At 35.7% G+C, this 13,234-nt stretch overlaps 1 protein-coding gene across 2 annotated transcripts in view; it reads right to left on the bottom strand.

Annotated features, from left to right (window-relative positions):
• The window catches only part of ARSK (arylsulfatase family member K), a 50,002-nt gene that overhangs the window by 16,222 nt on the left and 20,546 nt on the right, over nucleotides 1–13,234 (bottom strand). Inside the window, exons 2-4 of one of the 2 annotated variants that reach the window (XM_047416820.1) lie at nucleotides 7,939–7,989; nucleotides 5,683–5,965; nucleotides 2,148–2,319 (exon numbers count right to left, since the gene is read on the bottom strand). In XM_047416820.1, coding sequence (XP_047272776.1) covers nucleotides 2,148–2,319; nucleotides 5,683–5,904 — 394 coding nt within the window. In that variant the 5' untranslated portion in view covers nucleotides 5,905–5,965; nucleotides 7,939–7,989. The remainder of the gene's footprint in view (nucleotides 1–2,147; nucleotides 2,320–5,682; nucleotides 5,966–7,938; nucleotides 7,990–13,234) is intronic. The other variant, NM_198150.3, reaches the window with a different exon arrangement.

The following is a 13,234-nucleotide window of genomic DNA, read 5'->3' as shown; positions in this document are numbered from 1 at the left end:
AAGTGATTCTCCTGCCTCAGCCTCCTGAGTAGCTGGGACTACAGGCGCACACTGCCACACCCAGCTAATTTTTGTATTTTTAGTAGAGATGGGGTTTCATCATGTTGGCCAGGATGGTCTTGATCCCTTGACCTTGTGATCCGCTTGCCTCGGCCTCCCAAAGTGCTGGGATTACAGGCGTGAGCCACAAATGTCTTTAATTAATGAGTGATTTCTTAATAGTATTCAACATACTATACTCCCCCAGTGCCCAACATAGTGCCTTACAGCTAGTAGGTACTTAATGTTTGTTAACAAACACAATGAACAGTATTAAATACTATTTGGTGAAAAGACCGGTGTAGATTTAAAAATTTACAGGCCAGTCGCGGTGGCTCATGCCTGTAATCCCAGCACTTTGGGAGGATCATGAGGTCAGGAGATTGAGACCAGCCTGACCAACATGGTGAAACCCCGTCTCTACTAAAAATACAAAAATTAGCTGGGCGTGGTGGCGCGTGCCTATAATCCCAGCTACTCGGGAGGCTGAGGCAGGAGAATCGCTTGAACCCAAGAGGCAGAGGTTACAGTAAGCAGAGACCCCGCCACTGCACTCCAGCCTGGAGACAGAACTAGACTCTATCTCAAAAAAAAAAAAAAAAATTAAGATACAGTATATTCCATAAATTTTGTAACTTGATGTAAGGGAGTTGTTACATATTTTTCTTCTCTGAAGAGACATCAAGAGTAGTATTCCCACACTCCCTACAGCAACATTCTTTCATTTTATTAGATACAGATGAATGAATGGCTATAAACTTTCAAATGCAATTTCTAGTATGCAAATGGGAGGACATTCTCTAACATCAGAGAATATCAATGAAATACAATTTGACAGATGTGCTCATGATTAAAGAAAATTACTTAAGATCTTATTTGCATTGAGTACTTGGAAAGTCCTTATGAGTCCTTAAATACTTTTTTTTTTTTTTTTTTGAGACGTAGTCTTGCTCTGTCACCCAGGCTGGAGTGCAGTGGCACGATCTCCACTCACTGCAACCTCTGCCTCCCAGGTTCAAGTGATTCTCTTGCCTCAGTCTCCCAAGTAGCTGGGATCACACGTGCGTGCCACCACACCCGGCTAAATTTTGTATTTTAGTAGAGACAGGGTTTCGCCATGTTGGCCAGGCTGGTCTCGAACTCCTGACCTCAGGTGATCCACCTGCCTCAGCCTCCCAAAGTGCTGGGATTATAGGCATGAGCCTATACATTTTTATACCTGGCCAATACATTTTTATACTTGCTATATTATAAATAATTTGTCCATATGGCCTTTTTGCTTCTTGCTGTATACTTTTCTATTTTTACCCAGTGAATTTTTTTTTAACAAAAAACATTCACTTGTCATTTCCAAAGTTTACTCTGTACAGAAGAGGTGCTACCTACGCTTCACTAGTACAATTATGCTTCATTCCTAAGTGCAGCAAAATAAATGACATTACTTTATGAAAATAACTTTTGTTATAAAACAGATTTTTAAACGAGGGTTTTTCCACACATGAACTGGAAACTTCCATAGCTCTATAAGTGAACAGGTAAAATGTTCTTGACAGTCATGTGATGAAGGCAGGTTTAGTTTTGAGGTGGTCTTGAGCTTGAATGAGGGAAGAAAATTCGGTATGATTCTGGACCAGAATATACATGGAGAAACTTTAGTTAAGCCATGCTCTAAAGGGCCTGGGGAGAATGAATTTGTTTCATGGTTATTATAAGTTTTGGGGAGTCACAAGATTCTACAAGTAAATTTTCTCATCTCTAGAAACCTAAGCTGCCTTACAATTACCAATCACATGTGTACCTGTGCTTGGCTGAATATTGATTCCTGTTTAAGGACAGTAAAACGTTTCAAGTAGATGATAGCCTTCTGTGACCCTTTCTTTATGTGTGAATAAATCTGAGCATTTATGAATCTGAGAATTTCTGAATCATTAAGATGTAAAGAGCTTTTCATTCTATCAATAACGCAAGTTATCAAGTTTTGATAAGTGTCAAGATTCCTATAGTTATAAGCAACTTTGTAAGAAAGTCACCAAGCAGCATGATTACAGACTGTTGGAAAAATATTATAATTTTTCTTCATGTAATTGCTTATTAATTATACCACCTACCAAGCATGGCATCTGTCTCAGCACACATAGCATAATAAAATGCTCTAATATTCTTAATTTCTTTTTTTGTAAATCTTCCAGTGCAGTTTTTTGTATAAGAAGAGTAATAATCTACAGGGTGCATTTCTGACAAAGGTGACCACTTTGGGATTTTGATGGCATCATGAGACACCTAAAAAGGGGAGAAAAAACTTAGTTATGCTAGCAAAATAGTGCTATTTCTTTCCTCCAATAAGTATGTATGATGAAATCAACAATGTTTAATTACTTAGAATAGTAGAAAAGAACAGTGTAAATATGTAAATAAAATAGCAAATCAATACATAAATTAGGAACAAATTGTTAATACTGTCATAACAAAAGGTATATATCAATATGTGTATATATATCATGAGATAGTGGTAAAATTTTTAAAAATTATACAGGCCAATAAAAAATATGAGCTATATTAGACAGTACATGCTAATCCAGAAAAGTATCCAAGCACTTTAATATATAGTTGTGTAACCAAAACTTCAGAATCAACAACCTCAGAATACGGACTCCTTTTCTCCAATAATTCACTAGTAAAAATGACAATATCTAGTGAGATAGCCAAGCACTTGTCAAAAACAAATATGACTCTTTAACACATATAAATGCTTATGTACAGTGTTGGTAAAAAAAATTAGAACTAGATCTTGAATTCATATATATTTTAGTCATGTAACTTTCAAAAAGTTCAAACATTTACTTAGTATTTGCTTGAAAGTCATTTAACTCATGTCATTTGGCTAGTACTAACTCCAGACAAATTTTTGAAGATGAAACCACTTAGAACTTTTAAAGAAGATATAAAGTATCTAAAACACTGGCATTATTTTCTTTAAAATAGGATGGACTAAATCGTGTTTCTGATTAGTTTTTTTAAACTAACTTTTAATTTCCACAGGTTTTTGGGGAACAGGCGTGGTTGCATGAATAAGTTCTTTAGGGTGATTTCTGAGATTTTGGTGCACTCATCACCCAAGCAGTATACACTGTACCCAATTTGTATGTAGTCTTTTATCCCTCACGCCTATCCACCTTCCCCCAACCAGTCCCCAAAGTCCACTGTATTATTCTTATGCCTCTGCATCCTCATAGCTTAGCTCCCACTTATTAGTGAGAACATATGATGTTTGGTTTTCCATTCCTGAGTCACTTCATTTAGAATAACGGTCTCCAATTTCATCCGGGTTGCTGCAAATGATTCATTCCTTTCTTACGGCTGAGTAGTATTTCATGGTATATATACCACAATTTCTTTATCCACTGGTTGAGTGATGGGCATTTGGGCTGGTTCTATATTTTTGCAATTGTGAATTGTGCTGCTATAAACACGTGAGAGCAAGTATCTTTTTCGTATAATGACTTCTTTTCCTCTGAGTAGATACCATGTAGTGGGATTGCTGGATCAGAAGGTAGTTCGACTTTTAGCTAAGGAATCTCCACACTGTTTTCCATCGTGGTTGTACTAGTTTACATTCCCACCAGCAGTGTGAAATTGTTCCCTTTTCACCACATCCCCGCCAACATCTATTATTTTTTGATTATGACCATTCTTGCAGGAGTAAGGTGGTATCACATTATGGTTCTAATTTGCATTTCCCTGATCATTAGTGATGTTGAGCCTTTTCTCATATATTTGTTGGCCATTTGTATATCTTCTTTTGAGAACTGTCTATTCATGTCTTTTTTCTTTGAGATGGAGTTTTGCTCTTGTTGCCCAGGCTGGGGTGCAATGACGCAATCTCGGTTCACTGTAACCTCCGCCTCCCAGGTTCAAGCGATTCTCCAGCCTTAGCCTCCTGAGTAGCTGGGATTACAGGTACACACCACCACACCTGCTAATTTTCATATTTTTAGTAGAGACAGGGTTTCACCGTGTTGGTCTGGCTGGTCTCGAACTCCTGACCTCAGGTGATCCACCCGCCTCAGCTTTCCAAAGTGCTGGGATTACAGGCGTGAGCCCTATTCATGTCCTTAGCCCACTTTTTGATGGGATTTTTTTTTTCTTGCTACTCTGTTTGAGTTTCTTGTAGGTTCTGGATATTAGTCTTTTGTCAGATGTATAGATTGCGAAGATTTTCTCACAAACTCTGTGGTTGTTCATTATGCTGATAATTTCTTTTGCTGTGCAGAGGCTTTTTAGTTGAATTAACTGATTAGTTTTTAAAGTAACTTAAAATTGATTTAATATTACACATTTCAAAATACAGGTAGAACATGCATCATGTGGTTTGATATGCATGAATTTCAGTTATCACAGTATTGTTAAATAATACCAGTCCCCTAACAAAATTACCCCGGTAGACTTCAGTTACCAGGGTATGTTAACTGTGAATAACTGCAAGAAGTACAAACTTTCACACTGATATGCTGCTAGCTCTTTAGTATAAATCACTGGGTATACAACAGATATGTATGCCATTCAGTGACTAATCATATTGTTTCTTTTAAAATGTGTCAGTGATTAGTTATCTGGTACATGCACAGACAACAAAGCATGTACTTGTATCCTAGTGATAAATTAATGTGACACTTTATAAAAACAGATAATGAAGAGAAGTCAACAAAGATGAACATGCAGTAAAAAAAGGAAAAGTGACAAGGCTGGAAGTGAAATTCAAATCAAATGTAAATGAAGTTATAGAAGAAATAGCGGAGCTGGGAATGTTGACACTGCTGTCATTCAAGAGACACTAGAAATGTAGCCAGAGGAACTTAGTGAAGGCACATTTACGAGCATAAATGAGGAAGGCTGTTGTGAAGAAAAGGATAAAGATGTCCCACAGAAAGCGATATTGGCAAAATTTTTCACATTAAATGAACTTGGAGATATATCATTACATTGAAAGTGCAAAAGTTAAAATGTTGGAAGGTAATCCAAATTTAGAAAGAAATAATGACAATTTGCCAAGTCTTGGAAAAGATGCTTTCTCTGTATCATAAGTTTTATGATGAGAAGGCAAGCACTCTTCAATCTACTGGCAAGTTTTTTAACCAAAAAAATTCCCTCTTTAATTCTCAATGTTTCTAGTGTTTTCATTATAGTGCACTATATAAATATTAGTTTATTTTTTCTTTTTCAATTTTTAACAAAAAGTAACATAATTCAAAATATTTTGATAAATGTTTTTAAAAGTGCCAGAAAATGGTCATTTTCCCCATTTATTAAGGTTGTTTTATGTGGTTTCATCTTGCATGGTCATTTTTACAATCTGGAATGGTGCAAAGTGAGAGCTGCCTACATTTCTAAGAGAATGCCTTTTAGTTTCTCTGTTTATAGACATATCCTTAGCAAATGAATTCAATCCAGAAGCAGGCTTCTGACTTTTAACACTTATTTCTGTAAAATTGTCCCTTTAGTTTTTATCATACTAGTTATTGGTCAAGTTTGAATATACAATTTTCAAATTTTTCTTTAAAAGTGATAATAAAAGAAACAATGAGCAAATACCAATAAGCCACATATATAAATCTACTTTTGAGCACACACAATGTAGTTACTTACTTTTTCAAGCCAATAAAGAGATGTGTGAAATGTTGAAGATCCAAAATTTTCTCCAGAAGATGGTGAAGGGTAAGGGTGTGGTAAATTTAATCCCAAGTAAATAACAAATGGTTCAGTGTAATTAATTGCTTCCTTTCTTAACCAGTTTACTGCTTTGTCTGTATTCTGCCAATCCCTTTCCATCACTCTGACTTTAGTCCTGTTACGGATAAGATTAACCATGGGCCTGCCTTCTTGTCTGAGTAAGAAAGCAACATCTCTTGTCCACGCTTCCACACGATTACTGAGGGGGCAAAAAGACACATATATTGTCAGGTATATTAAAAAGTTTTAAAAACATACTAAGCATACACTAAGAAAACAACATGGAAAACAATTTTTAGACTCAGTCTTGTAAATGTTCAGAATAACTATATTAGATCTCAAAAAGAAAGTTATTGAGCATTACAAATTAAAATAAAATAGAAAAAAAGCCAAGAATTGAATATTCACTTATGTGTTCTTTAAAACTATGAAAGATTATGTAGAACAGTTAACTTTTCTTACAGCAAGATATTTAAACAAAATGTTTCAGATTCTAGTATTTCTCCTTATTTACTGGATTTTCTAATATTTTTCTTTTTTTCACTTAGAAGATATTATTCCTAACCAAAGCTACTATAATTTCCTTTTATCACTAAACATTTATAGTTTCAAAAATCTACCTACCATGTATACTTCATGTGTTGCTGAAGTTTCAGGTTTTAAATTGTTTCCAGCTCTATCTTTTCTTTATTAAAAGAACAATTTTAACTATAATCTGAGCTATCTAAGCTAATAGTGATACGAATTTCATATCCATTATAAACCAGAGATATTTTCTTTATTACTCATTTATAAATTAAATAATTCAGTTAATTCACTTTCTCAATTAATTCACTTTCTCTAAATCTTTATTTTATCTGACTGCTTGATTTTTCTCAATCAAGCTCTTAAGTATATGTAGCTGACATAATTGGTGAGAAAGCAGTCCTGGGCATTTCTAGGAAGCTTGCTTTTTAAGTTTCTGTTGAAATAGGTATCTCTGAAGTGATCTATCAATTGAGAAAAGTGTTTTAAAAATCCAGATACCAACTCACAAATAAAAAATATTTTATACTAAAACATAATACTCCACTTAAGAGAAATTGCAATTCATACAAAATGACTAACCACCCATATATAAGCTAAAATAGAAAAATTTTATACCCTGACTTCTGAATGCAGGTAAATAAATTTAAATAGCTATAATAAAAATTCATTTTTCTTTGTAGATATTCAATATATTTTGATAAAAATAAAAAAACCATAATTTCAGCAGAATTACATCTAACAGATTCTAATTAATTCTAACAGATGGGAAACCCTAAAATAGGAAGTTTTGTATTCATCACACCATCAAAACAATCTGACACTGGCGTCTCATTTTGCTTAAATCATAGCTAACTCTTACTATATGTGACTATTAGTATTGTTGCAGAGGTGGAATTTTACGGGTTTATAACACCAGCAGTATGTGTGGTAGAACTCAGATTTTGAGAGAAGGAATAGGACACAGATTTATATTCTATGTTTAGGAACCAAAGTACTTTCTTTTCAATCAGAGAGTATTACATGAGAAAATATGGCTGAGAAACTATTACAACAAGCAGGCTTTTAATACAACCTAATTAGTTGCCACTCCTTGGATTAACTCAGGTTAGACTATTGTCCTGATTGTGCTAACTGACCTAACCACTGGACTTCACGATGTAGTCTAGACCATGAGCGAGTCTAGACCATCTCAAAGAAAGATTTTCAAGCCTTGAAAGATGGCTATATTGAACCCAGCTTGCTGCATCTTTTGCTATAACAGTGATTAAGTGTGACATCATTTAACCTTTCTGGTAATAAATTTATGCCTTCTCCTTATTTTTTTTAACTGTGTTCCTGAGATTCTTTTAACCAAGGTCCCCTTAAGTGTAAAATGGCTCAAATAAAGTTAATTTTGGCCTACTGTAATCATTATGGCCAGATTTCAAACTTGGCTTTATAACTAAATAATATGCGATTGTCCTCTAACTAAATAATACGTGATTCTCTATTATCTTAGTGGTATCCTCTCTTGCCTTTTCATAAGCATGGCTTTAGCATGATTCCCATAATTGCTGGTACTTAAGTAGAGTTATAACAAATGATTTCAAGCACTGTTAAGGCAGCAGAGACAAGATTATGGTTAAAGGCAAAAGGTATTTTTACCTTTCTCAAACTTTTTCACTTCTTTGATTAGTTGACCCACGTTCACTGTGCCTAAAGTGTAAAATAACAATTTATTTCTTTGCAAATTAGTGAGGAAGAACATGAGTATAAAGTGATGTATTCAGTAGATGAATATACTACAGTACTTTAAAATCATTTAGCACTGTTTAATGTATTCAAAAAAGATTAATAATTATAATCAATGACTCTCCATTCTACTTTCACTACTTCCTGGGCCAGCCCAACCTTCCTGGGCCATCATGAAACACAATAAGAGGAGTAGATGCAGCCTAAGCAGTAGGCTGCTACAGGAGCTGCAATTCTTAGTCCAGAAAGTCCCTCTTTCCGGCCCAAGCTACCTTCCAGTCAGTGAGTCCAACGAGCAAAATATGGAATGAGAATATGAATATGCAACTTCATAATCTATTACAATTACAATAATAAGATAACTCTTTTGACATTATAATTCTCTCTACTAACCAATGTATCCAGCCCCTTCTTACAAGAGTGATGGTCTCTTAATCAGGCTAAACTATTGCACCTGGAAATCATATCTTTCGCTCATATGCTCAGAGCTACTTCTTTGTCTCATCGTTCTAAGTGTTCTTCCCCGCCACCAGTAATTGCTATAACTTTTTCCAAATAAAAGCTTTCTAATTACTTAACCACTGGGGGTATTTTGAACCAATTTTTTTACCATTCCATTTCTATGTATTTTGTCCAGAATACCAAGAGTATGGTTTCAATCAGGACAATTAAAAAGGACTTGCATCAATGAGGAGGATCCAAAACTACCTGTGGCTCAGATATTTTATGATTCAATGGCTGTTCTCAATATAAATTTACCCTGCTGCTTGCAATAGGCACAGCTATACAATGTATAGTTTCCTCTACGCCAGCATCTCTCAAAGTGTAGTACAGGGATCCCTAAGGATTCTCAAACACTCTCAGTGAGCCCATGAGGTCAAAACTATTGTCGTAATAACAGTAAGACGTTATTACCTTTTTCATTCTCATTCTCTCATTACACACAGTGTGCAGTGGAAGACACCACTCTAATCTATCCTCAGGTAGGAGCTCAGATATGGAGCATACCTATCTTGAAGAAGATTGTCCTCTACAAACTTAGAGAGGCTTCAGTGTTTCATTATATCATGCCCCTCTTAAGTGGCCCAATGTCTACTTCAACTCTTTATAGAAATATAAGAGGGGCTTTTCTTCTCAAAGGGATACAAATAATCATCACACATTTCTGATAAAGATATTCACAATTTGTGAATCTTGTCCTACTTCCACCAGAGGTCCAGTTCTTTATATCCTTGCTACTCCAAGTGTGGTCCATGGACCAGCAACATCAGCAGCTCCTGGGAGATCCCATAATTCCCACATGTTGTGGGAGGGACCTGATGGGACTCATTGTAATTGAATCATGGGGATGGTTTCCCCCATACTGTTCTGGTGGTAGTGAATAAGTCTCCTGAGATCCGATGGTTTTTAAAAGCTTTCCCCTTTCACTTGATTTTTCATTCTCTTTTGCCTGCTGCCATGTAAGATGTGCCTTTCACCTTCCACCATGACTGTGAGGCCTCCCAAGCCACATGGAACTGTGAGTCCATTAAACCTCTTTTTCTTTCTAAATTACCCAGTCTTGGTTATGTCTTTAATGGCAGCATGAGAACAGACTAATACACTATCCTAGACTCACTGAATCACAAAGGGCATCTAAGAAGATGCCCAAGTCATTTGTGTGTATATTAAGGTTTGAGATGCACAGTTTAAGAATTTTTTTCTGCAGAAATCCTCAAATTTTAATCAAAATTCAATCAAAATGGAGGATAATCAAAATGGAGCTTCAACAGTAGCCTATAAATAGGAGAATTATTCTATCTTGGTTCAATTCCAGAAAACAGGTGATAGCCAAATATACTAACCAACAATCAGCAGTTAAATTAGTTATTTTTAACAACAAAAAACTCCTCACTAATACAAATGAAAAACAAAACTACTTAACACATTACCAACTAATTTTTACATAAATTTGTATATTTGCCATTACTGTGTGGGTTTTCTGTGGCAGTGTGCCAAATTCTACTGCTAAAATATTGGATACAATCAGTTTACAAGTAGCACAGGATTAGTTTACATAGTAACAATTATATCTGAAAAAATATACCTTAAAATTGATGATGAGACTATCACAGTTTTCTTTCCACATGAAGTAGGAGCCTAAACATAAACCTTCAGCTTCCTAAGAGTCCACTGAAGATGATTAACTATCTCAGACTTAGAATTCTGTGATCTCTCTCTTTTTCTCATTGTTATTGATGGGATTATAGCAGCTAATGTGTTTCTGGTAAGTCTCACAATCAAAAAATTGGAAAAATGATAATTCTGAAAAATGCCCTTGCAAATCTCTGTATCGACCTAATAAATTCTGTAAGAAAAAAAAGGATCTATATTCATTCCCATTAAATGCTCTTTTCTGGACTTGGTGTGGGGGCTCACATCTGTAATCCCAGGGCTTTGGGAGGCTGAGGTAGGAGGATTGTTTGAGCCCAGGAGTTTGAGACCAGTCAGGGCAACATAGTGAGACCTTGTCTCTACAAAAAAAAAAAAAAAAATTCTTCACTGGGCATGGCGGTATGTGCCTGTGGTCCTAGCTACTTGGGAGGCTGACCAGGGAGGATCACTTATGGTCAGGAGTTTGAGGCTTCAGTGAGCTATGATCCTGCCACTTTACTCCAGCCTAGGTGACAAAATGAGACCTCATCTCTTAAAAAAAATTCTTCTCTCAAATTTGAGAGAAACACACATACAATTTTTAAAAGGATTTACAAGGCTGTCATCCATCTTCTTTACATATGATCACTCCCAAAAACAGTCTGTTTTAGTTGACTGAATAACATCTACCCTGGCAAATTCAGGTTGGAACATCATTTTAAAATATACGTTATTTAAACGCTCAAAATATGCATGCTTTTACATTTATTACTTTTATTAATTACAACTGTTTCATTTTTTGGTAAAATTATAATAGCTAATGCCCCTTAATCTTTTCTTATTCATGCATTTCTTTGCAAATATGATTAAAATCACAGATTTTTCTCTATTAAACAGTAATATTACTTATATCACAAATTATATTGGTTATATGATAATAATGATAGTAAATATATTTCAAAGAAAAGTTTTGTTTGCATGTGTGTGTGTGGAGGTGAGTATTCAGGGATTTTATCTTGTGAAATCTCACCTAGCCATTTTCTGGTCTGCTTGTGAATTCATCATTGTGGAAGCACTAATATTTACAACTTTGAATTCCTAGATGACTATAGCCCTTGACAGAGTATACATGTTTAATGTAGTCTGAGCTTAAACAAAGGCAGCCTTTTTGATTCAATTAAAGAAATAATGAATATGTGCTACATGCAAGACATTGATCCAGGCAGGTGCTTAATGAGACTTGCTAAGCTAACAAATTGGTATTTCCACCTCATAATCACTCAGACATAAAACTCTCCTACTATTGTACTTTTAAAAATAAATGCCAAAGACTACTTTATGGAAAAAACTGTAATAAAATACTTTAGCTATGAATCTAAAAATGGTTTAGATCACATTCACCATTTTATATCCAAAAGGAGATTATTTTTCTAATGCTTTTAAAGTAATTAACATATCAATTTGACTATAACATTTACAATTTTTGTAAACCTTTGTTTTTCAATATTATACAGAAAATGTAACCCAGACAAAATGCCATCAAATCTGAAAAAATAAAGCGGGTGGGTTATTGCCAGATTATCTGTTGTTAATAGAATTTACTAAGCAGTCATTGCAGCAGACACATCACCATATCCACAGCTCTTGCTGAAGGAGTGACCTAGTTGGCCACATTATGTAGGATTTAACTCCCTTTCTAGCCTGTCGACTGGCCAGGTATGGGCACCTAACGTAAGCACTAGCACTTAACGTGGCCAGCACTTAACTTATGATGGAGTCTTGCATGAAATATAAGTTAGGCCTATCATCCCTATTTACAGAATTTAAATTTAGAAAGAAAATAATCCAGTAACTGGAGGTTTTAAAGATGCAGCTGTGAGGTAGAGAAAGAGTCACAAGGGAGATGGAACTTGAGCCAAAAAGGGTCTGGCAGGTCAAAGTTGGGATTAGAAGTGATATAGCTGAGAAGACCCAGAGTCTGGGTAGTTTTTTGTATTTCTAGTAGAGACAGGGTTTCACCATGTTGGCCAGGCTGGTCTCGAGCTCCTGAGCCCAAGTGATCCACCCGCCTTGGCCTCCCAAAGTGCTGGGGTTACAGGCATGAGCTACTGCGCCCGGTTCCAATCCAAAAAACTTAATGAAAATGATCACCATATTGAGAGTACTAAGTGCAAATCTCAGTCAATTTTTAAGTCTCAGAATAGAAGACATGAAAAGTATAGACTTGGCTGGGCACAATGGCTCACACCTGTAATCCCAGCAATTTGGGAGGCCGAGGCGGGCGGATCACGAGGTCAGGAGATCAAGACCATCCTGGCCAACATTGTGAAACCCCATCTCTACTAAAATACAAAAAATTAGCCGGGTGTAGTGGCATGCACCTATAGTTCCAGCTACTCAGGAGGCTAAGGTAGGAGAATCGTTTGAACCTGGGAGGTGGAGGTTGCAGTGAGCTGAGATCGTGCCACTGCACTCCAGCCTAGTGACAGAGCAAGAATCCATCTCAAAAAAAAAAAAAAAAAGGTATACACTTACGTGAGACATCATATCAACAGAATGAAGGACGAAAACCATATGATCATTTCAACTGATGCTGAAAAAGCTTTTAATAAAATTCAACATCCCTTTATGATTACCCACCCCCCACCACAAAAAATACTGGGTATAGAAGGAACATACCTCAACATAAAGACACATACAACAGACCCACAGCTAGTATCATGCTGAATGAGGAAAAACTGAAAGTCCTTCCTCTAAGATCTGGAACACAACAAGAATGCCCACTGTCACCACTGTTATTGAACATAGTACTGGAAGTCCTAGCTAATAAGATAAGAGAAAGAAATAAAGGGCATCCGAATTGAAAAGGAAGGAGTCAAATTATTCTTGTTTGCAGATGATGTAAACTTTCATTTGGAAAAACATAAAGACTCCACCAAAAAACTATTAGAGATGATAAGTTCAGTAAAGTTGCAGGACATAAAATCAACAAACAAAGATCAGTAGCATTTCTATATGCCAACAGCAAACAATCTGAAAAAGAAATGAAGAAAGTAATCCCATCCCATGAAGTAAT

The sequence above is a fragment of the Homo sapiens genome, chromosome 5 (assembly GCF_000001405.40).
Source record: "Homo sapiens chromosome 5, GRCh38.p14 Primary Assembly".
NCBI lineage: Eukaryota > Metazoa > Chordata > Mammalia > Primates > Hominidae > Homo > Homo sapiens.
Note: the sequence above shows the minus strand (reverse complement) of the source record. Positions and strands in the feature narration are given on the sequence as shown.